The sequence below is a fragment of the Homo sapiens genome, chromosome 12 (assembly GCF_000001405.40).
Source record: "Homo sapiens chromosome 12, GRCh38.p14 Primary Assembly".
Taxonomy (NCBI): domain Eukaryota; kingdom Metazoa; phylum Chordata; class Mammalia; order Primates; family Hominidae; genus Homo; species Homo sapiens.
The window spans coordinates 119,053,767-119,074,391 of record NC_000012.12 but is presented as its reverse complement, the minus strand read 5'-3'; the positions used below and the strand labels follow the sequence as shown (position 1 = coordinate 119,074,391).

General features: G+C 42.7%; 1 protein-coding gene across 1 annotated transcript in view, besides 2 other annotated features; it reads right to left on the bottom strand.

Annotated features, from left to right (window-relative positions):
- SRRM4 (serine/arginine repetitive matrix 4) overlaps nucleotides 1–20,625 on the bottom strand; it is a 181,511-nt gene that overhangs the window by 88,660 nt on the left and 72,226 nt on the right. The gene's annotated exons all lie outside the window — the stretch shown is intronic.
- Nucleotides 12,911–13,111: a silencer, noted in NCBI's record as "peak1997 fragment used in MPRA reporter construct". NCBI's record gives its function as "represses an SCP1 promoter by STARR-seq MPRAs in K562 erythroleukemia cells {active_cell/tissue: K562}" and the evidence as "EXISTENCE:reporter gene assay evidence [ECO:0000049][PMID:32103011]".
- Nucleotides 18,262–18,763: an enhancer, noted in NCBI's record as "NANOG hESC enhancer chr12:119493434-119493935 (GRCh37/hg19 assembly coordinates)". NCBI's record gives its function as "activates a minimal SCP1, AML or CMV promoter by ChIP-STARR-seq in naive H9 embryonic stem cells {active_cell/tissue: H9 hESC(naive)}" and the evidence as "EXISTENCE:reporter gene assay evidence [ECO:0000049][PMID:30033119]".

Sequence of the window (20,625 nt, the reverse complement as noted above, 5' to 3'; positions counted from 1 at the left end):
CTCACAAAGATGGTGCTTCTGCCCCGTTTAACCTCTCAGAGTCTCAGTTGCTCTGTCCGTACACTGAAAAGAACATCTATTATTTGGAGCTATTTATGGTAAGCATTGAATGAGATAATGTGGGTAAAGGGGCCTGCATGGGGACAGGAACATCAGAAATACCCAGTAAATGTGATTTTTTTTTTCACCGTTTCCCTTTCCTAAGTCCATTGGCAAGCATTCAGAGGAAGGGAAGATAAGAAAGAGTATTAAGCCTAAGCAGGAGATTTTCATAATATCTGAAACTGCCACCCCTTGCCATCACCACCACCACCATTGGCAACAGCATTATTAATAATGAGCTCAAACTCTGTGCCAGGCTCTTTTAAAAACACTTTACATATATTATCTTATTTAAGTCAATGGAAACCCTTTCAGGTAGGTATTATAATGCAGTTTTCAGATGAGAAGTAGAGGCTCTGGCTGGGTGCAGTGACTCTTGCCTATAATCCCAGCACTTTGGGAGGCCAAGGAAGGCAGTAGAGTTTCTTGAGCCCAAGAGTTAGAAACCAGCCTGGGCAACATAGCGAGACCTATGTCTATTTATCTATTAAAAATTTAAAAAACTAGCAGGGCACAGAGGGTATGACTGTGGTCTCAGCTACTCTGGAGGCTGAGGTAGGAGGGTTGCTTGAGTCCAGGAGTTCAAGCCTGCAGTAAGCTATGATGGTGTCACTATACTCCAGCCTGAGCAACAGAGTGAGACTTTGTCTCAAAAAAGAGAGAGAGGCCGGGTGCCATGGCTCACTCCTGGAATCCCAGAACTTTGGGAAGCCGAGGTGGGTAGATCACTTGAAGTAAGGAGTTAGAGATGAGGCTAGCCAACATGGCTAAACCCCATCTCTACTAAAAATACAAAAATTAGCTGGGCATGGCAGGTGCCTGTAATCTCAGCTACTCGGGAGGCTCAGAAAGAAGAATCGCTTGAATCCAGGAGGTGGAGGTTGCAGTGAGCCATGATCTTGCCACTGCACTGCACTCCAGCCTGGGCAACAGAGTGAGACTCCTTCTCAAACAAACAAACAAACAAAAAAAAAAAAGAGGAGAGAGAGAGAGAAATAGAGACTCCAAGAAGTTATGTCACTTGTTCAAGGTCACACAGCAAGTAAGGAGTAGTGCCAGGATCAAACCAAATATTCTTAACCACTTGCCTCATATACATCCCTGAACTTCCCTGCTTTCCCCCAGACCAGGCAATTCATTTGGCAATCTAGTTCCCAGACTCAATTATTTCCTTAGAGCGTCACATTTTTTTTTTTCCTTTTCATGTGTTACACATGCCTCTTGTCTTGCCTGCTCACTCAGATCACCCAGTAGTGGACAACTTGGCTGTTAGCTGTTCGTCCTATCTCATTTCTCTGTTCTCTTTTGGAGGCAATGATGATTGTGAGCACTTTTGAATTCACCTGATCTAAATTCAGATCTGAGCTTTGACAGACTGTGTGACCTTTGGACAGACATCTTAAAGTATTGAGACCCAGTTATTCCTTCTGTACAATGGGGGTAGGAATCATGGCCAACTCACAGGGCAATTGTGAGAATTCATGCATGTGAAGTGCCTGGAATCTCAGGGAGGCTCAAAAACAAGCTAGTTAGTAGTGGTAGCAACAGAAGTTGTTCCTATTTGGAGAAGATAGCCTATCTGCCCAGAGGCCAGCCACCTGCCTATAACTGGAGCAGACTGGCTGGCTGGCTAGGACCTGGTGGTGTCCGACGTCTCTGTTCAATCTGCGGGTAAAACAGCCCCTGCGTAATGGACTGATTAATCTCCTTATCTCACGGAGCACACAGTGTAATTACATCAGAGAATTTAGATCCCCAAGCGCAACATCAATCAACTCAGAGAGAGCAGCTTCACCCTCCCTTCCCCAACAGCCTGGGGAAAAAAATAGATCTTCCCTCCCTGCTCCCTTTCTTCATCCTTCCCTCAAATGAGAGATCAGGACTAATAGTGCCTGGGCAAATGGCTGCCTGGGGAGAAGGTAGGGAAGGAAGGAGAGAGGAAGGGGCTATTTTTAGGTCAGCTACCTCCGAGGTTCTATGACAGCTGCCACACCCCCTTCCCCTTATAAGTCTGGCTTCTACTTGAGTTTGGAGTGAATAAGTAGGGGGAAAGGAATCCCATTTATTAAAATAGGATGGCCAGACAGAACAGCAATACCCAATATTCACAGTCATCTTTCACTGAATTCTTACTATTGTATCTGCAAAGGCATTATCTCCTTTTGTCCTCATGACAGCACTATGAGGAAGGTAGTACTATTATTAGTACCTATTACACAGATGAAGAAACTGAGCCTTGGAGAAGCTGACAGCGTCCCATTTGGTAAGTGGCAGAGGCAATGATCAAATGCTGCAGAGCTTTACTCTGAAACATGAGCTCGTATTTCTCACCTAAGACTCAGCCATTCACTTATCAAATAATTCATGGGCATGGACTGTGTGCCAGACACTGACTAGGTTCCAGGAAGGCAATGTCCTAAACACATGCAGCCCACCCTCAGAGATTTCAAAGTCTGATGGAGCAGATGTGTGCCAAGACCTTTGTTGAAAAGTAACAACAGTGACAACGGCGTGCGGCATGATGAATCTCACAGCTGCCATGCTGTGCAAAAGAAGCCACACAAGAGGTGGGATTCCATTTTTGTGAAGTTCTAAAACAGGAAACAGTCATTAGTTCTGGGGACTGGGGACTGATTAAGGAGAGGCCTGAAGGAATTCTTTCAGGTGACAAAGTGTCTTGTGTCTTAATGGAGGGTGAGTTCCAGGGGCTTGCATTTGTGCAAACTCATGGTATTGGTATTGTATACTTATTTTATCGTATGTAAATTACCCCTAAAATGTTGCAAAAAAATTAGAAAGCAAACAAATTACAATGATGGCAGCTGTTTACTGTGTGCTTCGTATGTGCTGAGTTGTTACAGGCATAGACAGATTTAATTCTCACAACCGCATTATTGGGGCTCAGAGAGGGTAAGCAACTTGCCCAAGATCGCACAGCTAGGAAAGGCCAAAGCTAAGATTCCAACACACATCTGTGTCTTACACGAAAATCTGTGCTCCCAACCACTGCTGTATCCTGCCTCCCGTTTTTTATTGTTCTCATACTAAGATTCATTTATATTCATTTATTTATCTCTCAGGCATTCAATGTTTGGTTGTGATGGGCACTAGGGCTACGTTTGGAATCATATGATTGAAACATACCCCAGACTTTGAGCTAAAGAAGCTACCAGGCTTGTGGGAGGACAAACATGTAAGTGATTGATCATATCACAGTGTAATATGGCCTGCCACGGAAAACCTGAGTCCTAGGGAGGACACACCTAAGCCCCCGTGGGAGAGGTCATACCCAAGCATCCAGCTTCATCAGCTCATAGCCAGTCCTGGTACCTCCCCGCTGTGTTTAATCTCTGAGCCTCAGAGGCAGTGGAGTAAAGACGGGGCAGATCTGGCATTTCTGAAATCAGGCCAGTGAGGACAAGTCCTAGGACCCTCACCATGAAGTCTGCTGTCATCTGGTTTTCATTCCAGGTGTCAGGGAAGCATGGCCCAGTCAGACTCCAGGGGAATAGTGGAACAGTGGACTTTGGACCATAAAACGGGATGAACTGAATAGATATGAAAGCAGCAGTTTCTTAGTCCATTCTATCTTTTATGAAGCCAGGAAAATGGTTTCTCATGCTGGTTTGGTGACCAACCAATTGTATGTGACCTAGGACATATCATGCCACCTTCTTGGCCTTAGTTTTCCTATTTATAGACTTGGTGGTCGCCTAAAACCTCCCCATATTAGACAGATAAAAATAGAGCTCTTCTGTGTGCGGCAGGGGGTGGTAATTTGGAGATCTGGGCACTCAACCTTCTCTTTGCTCCTCAAGGCAAAAGCTGAAATAGCTCCACAGAATATAGTTTGGAAATTGCAGACATGGGTGAACTCTAAGATGCCCCTACTCTAAAATCCGGGGATCTATAACTTAGAGGGCTGTGATCTGTGGTCTGTCCTGTTCACAACTGAATCCCTCATGCTTAGAACAGTGCTTGGCCCAATAAATAGACATTGAATGAACGTATGCTTGAAAGGCCTGTTCATTTAGTGGACAGGTAAAAAGTGGCTAGTTTTTTTTTTTTTTTTCTCACCTGTGTGAAGAAGCTTCTGGAAGGAAGGTGGCTGCAAACACATTTGCTTATACTGTAGAGTGCTTTTCATAAACTCAAATTCATTGCCAACATTTCAAAATCAGGTACTTCATGCACAAATTTTAAGAAGGATCAAGATTGGAAGCAAGGGACCTGCATTCCTCTCCCAAGGCAATCATCAGCTGGATCTGGTTAGCAGTGCCCCCGGCCCCTAACACCTCCCCGCAATTCACAACTCACGTTAGTCTCCACCTGGCTCACTCTACCCATTTATGGTATCTATATGACCCTGGTAGGTATTTAATTTTGAGATTCCCTGGTTTAAAGGCTAGTTTCTTCTGTTATCCTCCAAAGTGTTGGAAATGCACAGAGCTAGCCGTGCCTGGGTCTACGCTTGCCATGAGCCATAGCTTAAGTGATAGTGGGTAACCTGATGGTGGTTTTCTGATTCCAGGCACCATCTAAGAAATAAGGTGGCCTCCATGAAACTGGCCCAGAAAATGGAAACATTCATTCTTTTCTCTTACTTTCAGCCAAGAAGCAAGAGCACGGATTTACATCTCATTGGCTGAGGGTGCTCCAGGAATTTCTCACACAGGTCAGCACCCACATCCTCTAGTGGCTTGTAGGGAGGATGCACCCAGCCACCCATTTTCTCCTTTTGTACACAGGGGTCTTTGTTCCCAAGTTCTAAAATGTTGGCTCAGCTCCAGTCAGATTTAGAGAGTGCCATGCAGCTGATGCTGTGGCCTCCAGCTGCTAGGATTATATTTTAATCATCTAAATCCACGGCCTCCCAACGTGTGTCCACACCCCATGCTGGTCGAGCTACTTCAGAATCACGGAAGGCACTTCCCATAAATATGAATTCCTTGGCCCCACCCTTGGGGATTCTGATCTAATTGGTCATCGTGAAGGAGGGGTGGACTCCAGCATCTGTATTTATAAAAAGGTCTCCCGGCAGTTCTCACGCCCAGCCAGGGGCAGGAACCCCCGGTAACATGCTAAACCACTCACTTTGTTCCACTGTTTGCTTTCCATTCCCTTAATTGTTGACTTTACTATTTAGGGCTCTCCCGTTTCTATTTTTGCCTTACCTTGAACTTCCTTCAAGGATATCTCCCTAAGCCTGATGGCTTTTTTCTTGATTCTCTCCCTCAGCCACCTTGAATTAGATCTGTGGGCTTAGTGCAGAATCCCAAATTCCCTGTTCCCTGGAGCTACACAGGCAGGAAAAAGGACACCCCAGAGCAGTATCTTTGGGGAATGGGTTTAAAATAAGAATGAGATAAACCCCAAATCATCACTCGTCGCCCTCCCCTCCCGACGCCTCATGTAGGGATTCCTCCCAGACTCTAGACCTTCTTGTTTCTTTCTCCTTGCCATCCCCCGCCTCTCTGTTTCTAAGCCTCACCTTCCTTTTAAGATCAATTAGTGGGAACAAGTGTGCTTTTATCTCTTGGCTTTGGAAATCCATCACCTGTTTCTGACACCGAGATGGAGGTTGTTGGAAAGAATGAGTCCTGAGCAGGAGCAATAGAAGCTCTGTGGCATGCCAGTGTGGATTCCCGTGCCCAGGGGTCTGCGGCATGGGAGATAAATATCTAAAACTCCCCAAGCCATGGAAACAGCGGCTCTTCAAGGTGATTTCACATATGCACAGAAGGAGAAGAAAGTGGAGTTTGGATGAGGCGCCCCCACCCTCACTGCAGCTGCCCAGCTCTTCTCTTTGCTTGCTGAAGGGACCAAGTTAGAAAGAGAGAGAGGAGAAAGAAATTAGGCTGGTGGCAGAAGCAGTCTGCACGAAGACTGCCTTGGCTCCCTTTTTGTCCTGCAGCTCCCAGGCTGGGTCACAATAGTGATGATGATGGCTATGACAGTGATGACAGCTAACAGGTGTTCAGTGACTGCCACATGCTGGCTCCAGCTGAACATGGTTCTACGTGCTCTCCATGCATTTGAGTCTCACAACAGCTATGACACAGGCCCTAGGTTACCACTGCTATTACAGATGAGAAAAATGAAGCATAGGGAAGGTCAGAAACTTGTCCAAGCTCACAAAGCCAAGACGAGAAGGGGCCAGATGATTCTCAGTCTGAATCTGAAGCCCAGTATTTAAACACCAGGTTACGCTGCCACGGTCCTGGGCTCTGTCCCCACTTGGACATTCCTAGTGGACTTGCATTCTGTCAACATCTGCTAGGTAAGGTGTGTGCCACCAACCATTTGAAGAACTTGCAATATAGATGGGGAGGCCGGATTTAATAAAAACAAATCATTAGCCCTAACATGCCAGCCAAAGTGCTAAGAGCTTTATGTGCATTATCTAATTTACTCTCTCCACCCACTGTATTACCTCCATTTTACAGATAAGGAAACTGAGGTTCAGACAGATTAAATCACAGGCCCAAGGCCACATAATGTGTAGGTGGAGGAGCTGGGATTCCATTCCAGGCTTGTTGACCTCTTATTTTTATTTTTATTTTTATTTATTTATTTATTTTTGAAATGAAATCTCGTTATGTCACCCAGGCTGGAGTGCAGTGGCATGATCTTGCCTCACCGCAACCTCCACCTCCCGGGTTCAAGTGATTCTCCTGCCTGAACCTCCCGAGTAGCTGGGATTACAGGCACGCGCCACTGTACCTGGCTAATTTTTTGTATTTTTAGTAAAGACGGGGTTTCACCATGTTGGCCAGGCTGGTCTTGAACTCCTGACCTCAGGTAATCTGCCCGCCTTGGCCTCCCAAAGTGCTAGGATTACAGGCATGAAACACTGCACCCTGCCAAGGCTTATTGACTTTTAGAGCCCAAGATCTGACCTGATAGACTCATGAAAAGATAACGAACCATACTAGGGTTGTTACAATAAGAAATATGATAAGAAGCAATGGGCTCCCAGGTCTTATTTGCAGAAATGCTTATTGAGCACTTACTTTGTGTCAGACATGGTGCTAGGCACTGGGGATATGATGTTAAGAAAAACAGATATGGTTTCTGCCCTCGTAAAAGTTTTAATTTGATGGAGATATACAAAGTGCATGACTATCCAAAAAAAAAAATGAAGGAAAGTGGATAATTTGGGGTGGACACGCAAAAGCAGTGACTGGAGCAGAAAAGAGTGAGTGAGTGACAGAATTGTGAGATGAGACTAGAAGGGCAGAGCCTGGAGGCCATGCATAGGTCATTAGACTTTACCTGAGAGAAGCAGGGAGCCTTTGATGGTTATTAGGCAGGAGAGTGAAATACTGAGGTCCACTCTTTGGAAAGAGTCCTGGCTTTAGTAAATTTATGGGTAGAATGAATGGATGTGTGTGTGCACATAAGAATCATGTGGGGGAGGGGGAGCTAGAGCCAGTAGCAGGAAGACAGGTAGGATGCCTTTGCAGGAATTCATCGTCGTGACAAGAGATGATGGTGGATTTACAAAAGAGGGAGGAACTATGTAACTCGTTCTCCAGCACAAGTTCCCTTCCTAACTCCAGGCAATGCTTCTGGTAACAAGGAACATCAGGTGAAGGGCTGTAGACGATTTATTATAAACACATCCTTGAAACCTAAGGAAGCAACATTTCTAGACTAGAGCAGTGGTTGTCAAACCGGAATGTGCATCAGAAATGCCTAGAGGGCTTGTTATATGGCACAGATTGCCCAGCCCCACTTCCGAAGTTTCTGATTTGGTGTGTCTGGGCTGGGAACCAAGGATTCACATTTCTAACAAGCTCCCAAATGATGCTGATTCTGCTGACATGGGGGCCACATTTTCAGACCCAGTAGTGTAAAATAAAACATACTCAATTTGCAACCACATTCACTGAGAGCTGAATCCAGTTTCTTTCCCTCTTTAAGCTGGGCAGAATTAGATGACCTCATTGAGGTTTTTTCTTTCCATCTATAAATGGGATTGGTAATGTCAACACTGTGAGTTTGTTGTGTATTTACAGTAGATCAAGTACAAGGTTTATTACAGTACTTGGCACATAGAAGAAGCTCAATAAATAATAGCTATTGTTATTATTACCCAGAGAAGAAGCTTAAACCAGCACTTGGCCAATGACACATTAGGACTGAGACTAAAAATGATATCTTCAATGAGCACACAAAGCCTGAAACCAGTAAAGTGACAAGTAGCTAATATTGGTGAATAATAATAAAAATTCCATAAGGCATATTGAGGGGTTACTCTTTGTCAGGCGAGACTTCAAAGGCAGACAGGAATTGAAGACTATTTTTTTCATGGCTGCTAAATCACCTTGTCTATTTATTCTTCTATTAAGTGGAAAATACCTTCATTAATTCACCCACTTACCATTTTTTCATCTATCCAGTCACCCACCCATCCACCCATCCACCCATTTATGCATCCATCCATCCACTCATCCATCTATCTGTCCATCCATCCATCCATCCATGCATCCATTCAACCACTGACCCATGGATTATTTTATTTTATTTTATTTTGAGATGGAGTCTTGCTCTGTTGCCCAAGCTGGAGTGCAGTGGCACAATCTCGGCTCACTGCAACCTCTGCCTCCCTGCAAGCTCCTCCTTATGGGTTCAAGCGATTCTCCTGCTTCAGTCTCCTAAGTAGCTGGGACTACAGGCACTTGCCACCACGCCGGGCTAATTTTTGTATTTTTAGTAGAGACGGGGTTTCACTATGTTGGCCAGGCTGGTCTCAAATGCCTGACCTTGTGATCTTCCCGCTTCAGCCTCCCAAAGTGCTGGGATTACAAGCATGAACCACCGCACCTGGCCACCCATGGATTTTTTTAAACTCCTACTCTGGGCTGTCAACTGTGTTAGGTCCTACATAGTTCAATGGAAACAACCTTTAGTCAAGTGGGCCTGGTATTCAAATTGGCTGATATTTCCCTGTTTCAGTCAGGGGATCTGACTCACTTGGAGCTGTCTACATTTTTGATGGAGGGCAGGGGTCAACTCAGAACAGTGTGTTCCCAACCAATGTGAGAACCAAAGGAGACAAGAGATTTAGAATTGAGGCTCTGGAGCTGGACAGATCTGAGGTAGGTTCTTGATTGCTGGTCCTACCCCTTATTAGCTGGGTGGCCTTGGACAAGTAACCTACTTCTGTGAGCCTCAATTTTCTTCTCTAGAAAATGAGAATGTTAATAGTACCCACCTCATTGAAGTGGTTGTGAGATAATACATAATATATATAAAGAGGTTAACATGATTCCTAGTATATGTTAGTTAAATGCTAAGCAAATCATAACTCGTATTGTTATCAGTAAAGCAGGGGAATTAAGGATTCATGGGGGCAGTTCGCTCATATTAATGTCTTCATTATCAACTGAAGCTGAACTTTACTTGTGTTTTTTCCTGACAATACACATCCAAAAAAATGCTAGAGAAAACCATTTTTTCCCCCTTTTCCACAAATTTATGCCTGGTAAATTGGTGTCTGGTTTGAGGAGCAAGGAGGAGAAGCTCTTATCAGTATAAGACATTTATAAAGCACTTTCTGCATTCCAAAGTACATTTATATATTTTCTCTCAGTTTATCCCGACAAACCCCTAAGCTTTAAATAAGCAAGGTTTTTCTTAGCCTCATTTTGAAAAGAGGAAAATGAGGTTAAGTGGCTTGCCTAAGGTCACACAGCAGGTTAAGAGCGGAGTTATAGCTAGTTTTCTGAAGTGTTCTTTCCACTACACCACATGCCAACCTAAGTTCAAGTTTTTGGTTTTCCTCTTTTAATAAACAGGAAACCAGAGGACTTTGGCTGACTCCTCTGGCTTTTCATACTCCAGTGCCATCACTAAAAAAAATTATATGTGTGCATTTTTTGGCTATTGTAAATTATTAATGACAATCTCTTTAGTGTGTCAACTTCATTCCTTTGTTTGAAACATTCCTTTTGGCATTGGCAACAGCACTGAAATAAATAGTTTATTTGCCAATAACATAGCTTGTTAAATTTTAATCAAATAGAGTATTGTAAGCACGTAGTTACCAGGATATACCCCTTGGGAATGAGGGAGATCACTTTAGAAATGAATTAATAATGGGGTTTTTGGAAGCCAAAATGAAATGGCCAAGGAAGCCTTGATGTGGATTATTCATTCCTATTTGAGTTGTAAATCAATGGAGTTGCTCTCACCCTGCTCCCATTAAAATTTTCTTGTTAATTATTTTCAGAAGATAATAAGATCAACCAGATGTGGGGGTATTTTTTGCTTCTTGTTTTCTTTTTGAAAGTATGAGCTCTTCTTATGTTGTTAGTATATAGCCCAGGATCATGGTATGTTAAAGCCTGGGGCTCTTACATGGGTTTAGGAATGGAGATGAGAGGCTCCACTGATCTCAATTTCCCCATCTCTCTCTGTTTCTGTCTCTCCCATCTTCATTCACAAGAGAATAGATACTATATTTTGTGTTTGATGGTATTCTTTATTTACTGAATTGTTTCTATTAGTGGGAAGGGTTTTACTCTTACTCACAAGATTCACTCTTTCACTCTTACTCATAATATTTCCCAGAGACCAATGTCTAGCATTTGTAAAATTGTTGTGTGGTAGTTATTAAGGCTGTTAATTAATACCTTGGTTCTTCTTCCAGGCACAAAATAGGATTGCATTTACTCTTCCCCTTGAATTTAGGTACCATGGTGCCATGGCTTTCTTTGACAAGTGAAGTGTGGACGTAATTGATGTGTGAAAATTCTGGCTAGAAGTTTTAAGGCAAGAGTGATTCGCCTTTTCCCCCTTTCCTCTGTCTTAGTAACTACAGACATTCTAGATGATTCATTCAGTTTTGGCTCTTGAGAGAGGAAAACATGGAGGAGGGTCTCTGGCCAGCCCATGACAAACATGTAGTATAAACATGAAAAGGAACCTTTGTTGTTCTAAGCCCCTGACATTTTGGGGCTGGTTGTTACTATAGCACAACCAAGCCTATCCTTACTAATAAATGCACAATAAAGTCTCATGCATACATGGCCATGGGAGTCATGTGCATTGATAACCATGACATTAAATCTGGAACTTACTAATTATTTAGGGAAAGAGACTGTGGCTTGTTCATCTTTGAACATCTATTGCCTAGCAGAGTGCCAAGTATTTAGTAGATACCAGTAATGTTTTCTAAATGAATTATTTAGAAATGTGATAACGTAAACCATTGAAGTTAAATGGCTGAGATGATAATGATCATGAGGATGACAAAAACAACCTTATTCATGACACTGGCATCTACTGAAGGCTTACTATGTGTCTAGCACTTTGCTAAATAAGTTGACAAACAATATCTTATTCAGTCCACACAGTAACCCCATAAGGTAATATTAATGTTGTCTTCATTTTGCATATGAGAAACTAAAGCCATGAATCTGGTAGGCCCATTGCCTAGGGCCACTAATAAGTGGCAGAGCCAGGATTCAAATCCAGGCATGGCTGTGCACTGCATAACAGTCTTTCGGTTAATGGCAAGCCATACATAGATGGTGGTCCCATGCGATTATAATGTAGATGAAAAATTCTTATCACCTAGTGATATCTTGGTATCCTGACCTTAGGCTAAAGTGTGTGTTTGTGTCTTAGTTTTTAAGACAGTTTGAAAGTTTAAAACAGTTTAAAGGTTTAACTTGTTTAAGCTGAAAAAAGTTTAAAAAGTAAAAAGAAATTTTTTTAATCAAAAAAGCTAGTAGAATAAGGATATAAAGATTTTTTTTTGTACAGCTGCACAGTGTGTTTGCATTTAAGTGCTACTGTAAAATAATGAAAAGCTTAAATAAATGAAAAAGTTTATACAGCCCAAAAAGCACAAGTAAGCTAAGGTTAATCTATTATTGAAGAAAGAAACTTATTTAAAAAATAAATTGAGCGTAGCTTAAGTTTACAGTGTTTATCAAGTCTACAGTAGTGTACAGTAATGTCCTAGTTCTTCACATTCACTCACCATTCTCTCCCTGGCTCACCAGGAGCAACTCCCAGCCCTGAAATCTCCAGCAAGTGCCCTATACAGATAAACCACTTTTAAAATCTTTTCTACTGTATTTTAATGTACCTTTTCTGCATTTACATATGCTTATATACACAAACACTTACCATTGTGTTACAGTTGCCTACAGAATTCAGTATAGTAACATGCTGTGCAGGTTGGTAGCCTAGGTGCAGCAAGCTGTACCATACAGCCTAGGTGTGAAGTAGGCTATCCCATCTAGATTGGTGTAAGTACACTCTATGATGTTTGCATAACAATGCATACTTCAGAATGTATTCCCATTTATAAGTGACGCATGACTGCATATCTATCCATAGATTTTCAATGGAGGTGGGATATTTTTTCCCTCTGGGGACATTTAAAAATATCTGGAGACACTTTTGGTTGTCACAACTGGGGAAATACAATAAGAATCTAGTGTGTCGAGGCCAGGGAAGCTGCAAGTCTCTTATCATGCACAGAGCAGTAACCCAAATAATTATCCAGCCCCATATGTCAATAATGCCAAGAAATTCTGGTATATCCTATCACACTTTTAACTACTAAGTTATAGGACACATCTATCTTTTCAGAAATGAGGGGGACAAAATCTTCTAGCTTCCTGCCTCAACCCCTTGGAAGATTGTTTGGAAATAAGTAAATGTGTTTCAAGATTGACCACATTATAAAATATAGATTTACACAGAACTTTTCAATAGCACGCATTCCGTAAAAGTGAGAGACACCTGAAAAGTAATGTAACTAGTAGGTTCAATAGGCAAGGACGGCTGCAACAGCCAGGTAGTGCTTTCATGGTTGGATTCACTGCAGCCTGTTATTTAATCAGTGGTCGCTGTCCCTGGTGCTGAACCGCCGTCAGGCTCTAGGAAACATGAATCAGCAAAGCCCCTGGATTTGAGCGGAAGTTCTGCCAACACACCCAAGTGCACACGCAGGGCTACACCTTTTTTTCTTTTCTAACCACATCTCAAGGACACTCTGCCCCCACCGTTGGAACAAGATAATTAACATGCGGGAAACATTGCTATTTTTGAGTCCATCTTGAAGAATTTTCGGTCTGGGGCTTGACAGGGTGGCGATTGTTTTCCTTCCATTATTCATTCCTTCAACCTTCAAGGACTTTTCTGCTGCTGAGTACACAGGCTTGTCACACATGCTGTTGCATGTGCACATGCGCACACATGCCCACACACACACACATTCCATACTAAGAGGTGCACGGAGGGAGTAGGCATGCTCAGATGAGAACAGAAAGTAACACTCCAGTGTCCTACAGGAGGAGGTGGGGAAGGGACGTGGTATCGTTTAGGGCTACATTCTTAAAGCAAACTAGCCAGTGACCAGGATTTAATTGGCAAGTAGGGATTGTGTTCCTCCTTTCATCTCACACTATGAGTTAGGTTGATAAGATGTTTGATAAGAGCGGGCGTGAGCTGATCTCATCCCAGAAGCTGTCTTCAGAGGTCATTATGTCCTTTGGGAATTGGAAAGCCTGGAATGTAAAATACAGAGGATCCAGCATATGAGAGAAATTCTCCAGGGCTAAAGATAGAATGAGAAGCTGAGTGTTACACGGTTGAAGTCCCGGGCCTCATTCTTTTGTTCTTTTGGGCCATACTTGGGAGGGGGTCTTGTGAAAGAAATTACAGATAATACACAAACTCTACTAATTCCTACAGAACACTCAGAGACCTGACTGCCATAAGGAACACTTAAGATACTGAAAGCCCTCAGTGCATTTGGGTAAATGGATGAGGGTGTAAATGAGTGTGAATGTGTACGTGCATGAGTGTTAATGTACACACAGGTAGTTATCCATGTCACATAAATGTGTGGGAGCGCTCACATGGATACATGTGAAAATGCCCATCCATGTTCAACAGTGTGGGATAGGAGTGGCATATCAATAGACATTTCCACTTTGGATCCATGGCTCTCCTGGACACTTTATTTTCTCCTATTTTGTTCATCTGTCCACCGAAGTGAGTAATTCCAAGGAAAAGAGTTTGTGCATCGTATATTAATATGCAGGTATTTTCAGGTAATTGTTTTCTCAGATATCATTTTGCTCTTCCTGGATACCCATTAGTTCATGAAATATCAAAGCCGAAAGAGCCTCTAATTACTTCATTTTATAGATGGAGAGACTGAGATCTGGAAAAGTGGGTTAAATCTACACAAAGTCAGGGCAGTGCCTAGTCCAGACTTTCAACTTCCACCCTAGGGCTTTCACTCTACTAATCATGGTTCCTCAGCATACAGAAGATTGGATTGACATGAAGCAGAGAACTGGCTGATGAACCAGTCAACACAAATCTTCTACTGACCTCCAACATGAAGGGACTCTGCACCCTCTCTCCTTTCCCCAGAGATTCTGGACATTTCAGTCTTGAAATCTGGTTTGCTTGAGGGATAGATAGTCCTGGGCTAACAGGGTATGACTTGGTAATGGATAAAAATTTCTTGGTAGAAAGATATAGAAGAGTAGTCAAGAGCCAGGGTAGCAGCGACATGAGATATGGAGAAGATGCAACTGCCTAAAACCTTCTGTGGCTCCCACTGCCTTTAAGATAAGATCATGTCCCTTATGTTGCACAGCAGAATCCCTTTCCACCTCCCCAGCTTCCACTCTCTCAATTCTCAACTTTCACCCTACAATGTAGCCAGGGAGACATTTCCCTAATGTGGGCCAGGCCCTCTTTCACATCACTCTTGGCACATAGTGGGGACACATGCACTGCTCCTCTCTTCTTTCCTGGTCATGGCCAATGATTGCATATACCTTAAGTTTTATCCTAATCAGTACTTCCTCTGTAAGCTTCCTCTGGCTCCCCAAGTCCTTGATAAATGTGCCTTTTCTGTAACCCCACTACATAGCGAGAAACAAACAGGTATGTTATTAACTGGTACCTGTATCTGGTTGTCACAGCACCTGTCACACAAACAAAATGAACAAATGAACAAATGAATGAATGAATGAATGAATGAATAAAAGCAGCATTCTGAGTCTTTTCAATATAGTTGTCAAGGGGTTGAATGTCAAGTAGAAAGGGACAGGGTGGGTAGGGAAGGGGATGTTTAATTGGTAGAATCAATATTTCTTAATCCAAGACCCAAACAGAAGTGGTTACAGGGCTGAGGACTGCTCCGGAGGCCCTGAATTGCTGCTCTATTGTTCACAGATCTTGAGCTTGCTGGGCACAGAGGAGGGCTGGGCAGAGGTGTCTCCAGCTAAATAGCTGCAATCTAAGGAGAGGTAATTGCAGGATTTGAAGGCAACTTTTTCTGTCTGGCTCTGCTGCGGGTGGGGTGGTGATCACAGACCTCTTCACTGCAGGACTCACACACACCATTGCAAGATGGGGTGGAAGACACCAAATATAGCTGCTATTGGCAGGGGAAGCCTTAGAGGGAAGGCAAAACATGTTAAGAGAACAATGGCTCTGAAAGAAAAAGGGAGGAGAAAGAGGAAGAGAGGTAGGGGAATGGAGCTGGAGTGTGTCCTCTAGGGAGACCAGACAGTAACTGGCTTGTCTCCACTCTAGGAAGCATCAGAAGAAGTGGGGAGGGGGAAAAGATTTCTGATAGTAGCTGACACTTCTAAGGAATGCTCGTGTCATTTTCATTAGAAATATTTTATAATATGCTAGACTCTGTACCAGAGAAGAGCTATAGGAAGAGCAAGGTGACCAACAGATTGTGAACTTGGACTTTTGACTCAAAGTACCTAAATTCCATTTCCAGCTTTGCCACTTTTGGGCTGAGTAAAATGAGAAAGCTATTTAACCTCTTCAAGCCTCAGTCTACCTTTCTGTAAAATGGGGACAACTCCCATCAGTCTCAGGGAATATCTATCTCATTGTTATAAGGCACTGAATACAGTGTCTGGGGTACAATATGAACTCATTAAAGATTGACTAATTATTGTTAATCTTTACTATTTGTTAACCACATGTTAATCCTTTTTATTTATTAATGACTTCATTAATACTTAGTATTATTAGTGTTAAATGTTATTACTTGTTTATGTATTTTAGTACATCCCAAAATGTATAATACCTAGCAGATATAGAATAAATTTCATATAAATAAATGAATGAACAAATGAGTAAATCAAGAAAAGATTTATTATATGCCCAGTGCTTGCAATGAGGCAGTTACATGCTTTGCACCTACTGTTCCCTCTTCCAGGAACTCCCTTCCCCATCTTCTTTCCCAGTGATTTTTTAAATCTGTAGGTCAAGAATCAGCCCAGAGAGTCTATTTTCCAGGAGATGTCCTTCCTGGCATCCCTTGGGGAAGATCATGGTTTTGTGCCTTTGTTCTGAAAGCAGCTGTGAGGGATAGAAAAAACCCTGGACCAATGGCAATTACTAAAAAGTCCAGAAACAACAGATGTTGACACGGTTGCAGAGAAAAAGGAACACTTTTACATTGCTGATGAGAGTGTAAATTAGTTCAGCCATTGTGGAAGACAGTATGGTGATTCCTCAAAGCTCTAGAAACAGAAATACCATTTGGCCTAGCAATCCTATTACTGGGTATATAGCCAAAGGAGTATAAATCATTCTGTTATAAAGATGCATGCACACGTATGTTCACTGCAGCACTGTTCACAATAGCAAAGACATGGAATGAACCCAAATGCCCATCAACGATAGACTGGATAAAGAAAATGTGGTATATATACACCCTGGAATACTATGTAGCCATAAAATGGAACAAGATAATGTCCTTTGCAGGGACACGGTTGGAGCTGGAAGCTGTTATCCTCAGCAAACTAATGCAGGAACAGAAAACCAAACACCGCATGTTCTCACTTCTAAGTGGGAGCTGAATGATGACAACACATGGACACGGGGAGGGGAACAACACATGGTGGGGCCTGTCAGGGGGCTGGGAGAGGGAGAGCATCAGGAAGAATAGCTAGTGGATGCTGGGCACTGGGGTTAATACCTAGGTGATGAGTTGATCTTTGTAGCAAACCACCATGGCACACATTTACCTATGTAACAAACCTGCGCATCCTGCACATGTATTCCAAAACTTAAAATAAAAATTGAAGAAAAAAACCCAACTATTTCTTTCTTCACCTAATTTAAAAAAGAAAGAATAAAAACCATGGACCAAGTGTCTGAGGATGCGGGTTTCATTTCTTTTATGTTCTTAGCCTTGAGGTGATCTAGGAAAATCCCTGGATATTCTGTGCCTATATCTTATCATCTGTTGAATGGGAGTAATGTTGCTTACCAAATAACATTGTTGCAAACCTATCTCTCCTTCCTTCAAAAATATTTACTGCCAGAAAGATTCCAAGATTTAGGTACTGTAGTGGGCTCTGCAGAAACTTAATGAACAAGACAGGTGGGTCTCTGCTATAATGGAGTTCACATTTTAGCATGGGAGACAGATATTAAATAAATAAGTGCTCTGGGAAAAAATATGTGTAATTATATTTGTGATATGTGCAACAAAGGAAGAAGTGTTGAGCAACTGGGAGGGAATTGCTTGAAATCTGAATGGCAAAAAAAAAATAGCCATGCATGCAAAAGAAGGCCGAGTGAGAACAAGTGAGGCCGAGAGAACAGCATGTGCAAAGGCCCTGAGGTGGGACAGATAGCTTAGTGGGTTTGAAAAACTGAAAAGAGGTGAGAAAGACTTGAGAAAAATGGGAAAGGAGAAGAGAGGCAGAAGATAAGATCAGAGAGGTGGGCAGGCACCAGGTTTTGAATGCCTTGCAGGTCACAGCAAAGAGATTCCAAGTGAGACAGAAATGTGAGCTCTCTTAATCAATGGTAAAGCTTCACCGGAATGTTACATAAGACCATCACGATGGACCTGTCACTAATCTTTTGGTTTCTCCATCAGCAAAGTGAGATAACATCATCTTTACTGCCTCCCCAGCCACCCAGGTAAAATGATGAGGTGACATCTCCTTGTAGCTGACATCAAATGACATCTCTACATGATAGCATAGCATACTTAAGCCTCATTGTGGCTGCACGAGGCACTGTGGTCCTGGAGATGCCAGAACTTAGACAAAGCTGAGCTATTATCAAAGGGGAGGGAGCATCATGCAGGCTGTTTTGGAGCCAGGATGTACATGGCTATTCTGGGCCTTGTGGGAGGGAGGCTGAGAGGGGGGCTGGCCGGAAGAGCAGAGTTATTTCAAGACATTGCAGCAGGCAATTGTAGCCAGGGTGTACACAGCAAATCTGGAGAGACTGGAGGGGCCCAGAGACCCTGCAATTGCTGGAAGCTAAAGGACGTCCCTACATGGCCCCAGAAGAGATTTCGTTCTATTGTTAGGCAGTACAGCATGGGTTCTGGAAGCAGAAAGGGCAGGCACCTACACCTGCTCTGTGACCTTGGGCAGATGCCCACTACATGTGTTAGCTCCTTATATCCTCCCAACAACTTTATGACATAACCTCTGTGTTGCTCCCATTTCACAGGTGAGGAAACTGAAGTTCAGAGAGGTTAAGTGACTTGCCATGGTCCTGCTGCTGTTCGAGGCAGAATCAGGATTTGAACTCAGCTCTCCAGAGCTAACTGTCCTGTGTTATTCTCTCTCCTTCTTATTACTCATGACAGAACAGGGTCATCTGACAACTAAATGAGGTGGCATATAAAAATATCCAGCACAGTGCTTGGCACATAGCATGCCCTCTTTGAAACTGCTATTGAGTCCATACCAAATGTGCGGCATTTCAGTCTTGCGGGGAGGAATAAAGGCAGGTCTTCAAAATCCAATAGAGGCTGACTACATTGGGATTTTGAGAGTGGTACTTGCCACTTGGAAAAAAACCCTGAACTAAAATATGCTTCTTATGGAAACCCTGGAGGGGAAAAAAGCCACAATGTTAATTACATTTATAAATAACATCATTGCGTGTGCTTTTTAGAATAGTCTTGTGAGGCATGTGGGGAGGGAGTTACTGGCCCCATGTAGCAACTGAAGACACTGAGACCCACTAGAGTTTATTTGGTTGTCTGTCACAGAACAAACCAGTAGGAGAGAAGTGACGAAACTCCAGTCTGTTCCCTCCTGTGTAGCCCATAAATCTTCTCAATGAATTTTAAAAATAAGATTTCACAGAGGGCATAAATTTCCCTGCTGAGCATCCGTTCTCTCTTGTTATGATGAGCAGCAGATTCTTCTCTGAGGGACAAGCCCCTTCTCTACTTTCAGTCTATCTGATGCAAGCAGAGGTGGCTTCACTCCAGCTCCAGAAAGGGGGCATGACCCCACCCTGGTCATTTTAAGCATCACATGCCCCCTGGCCACAGTGGTTGGTTCAGAGATGAGCACCTATCAAAGCCAGGACAACCAGAGCCAGTGAGACTCAATTCTGGAACTTGTGTTGAAACCATTAGGAAGAAACTGTCCTTTGCTAGAGGTTGCTAAAAAAGGATAAAAGTGCGGCCCTCTGGTAGCACTCTTGCCACCCCAAGGGACAGCTGCATAAGAATGGAATCAACATCATGGAGAATAGCGTCAAGAAATGAATACAGGGATGACATTGCTCTAGCTCCTGGATCTATCTGGAACTGAAGCCATTCAACTTTTCATGTATGAGAGCCAATACATCCCCTTTATTATTGGATCCAGCTTTGTGTGGCTTATATCTCTTGTATATAAAGGACTCCTAACTAATACAATCACCCTCATCATCAACAACAAAACTTTGCTGTAGGTCCACAAAATGTAGGAAAGTCTGGTTTCTGAGAATGGTTAAGTGCATGCACACTGGAATTAGGCTGATTGAATTTGAGTTCTGCCTTTTCCACTTTCTAGTTGTTTGATTTTGGTAAGTTACCCTACTTCCCTGTGCCTCAACTGTGAAGTAGGATAATAATATTCCCCACCTCACTGAATCACTGAGGATGTTAAATGAGATAATATACATATCTAAGGATTATAACAGCATCTGGCACAGTGAGTGCTCAAAAAGTGTTACTGTTACATGGATGGATAAATAAAACGTGGTACATATACACAAAGGAATACTATTAAGCCATAAAAAGAATGAGATCCCATCATTTGCAACAACATAAATGGAACTGGAGATCATTACGTTAAGTGAAATAAGCCAGGCACAGAAAGACAAACTGCATGTTCTCACTTGTTTGTGGAATCTAAAAATAAACACAATTGAACTCATGGACATAGAGAGTAGAAGGATGGTTACCAGCAGATGGGAAAGGTAGTGGGGAGGTTGGTAGCGGGGAGGTGCGGATGGTTTATGGGTAAAGAAAATAGAAAGAATGAATAAGATCTACTATTTGACAGCACAATGGGGTGACTATAGCCAATATTAACCTAATGGTACATTTTAAAATAAAAGAGTATAATTGGATTGTCTGTAACACAAAGCATAAATGCTTAAGGGGATGGATACTGCATTCTCCATGATGTGATAATTACACTTTGCATGCCTGTGTCAAAATATCTCATAAACATATACTCCTACTACATACCC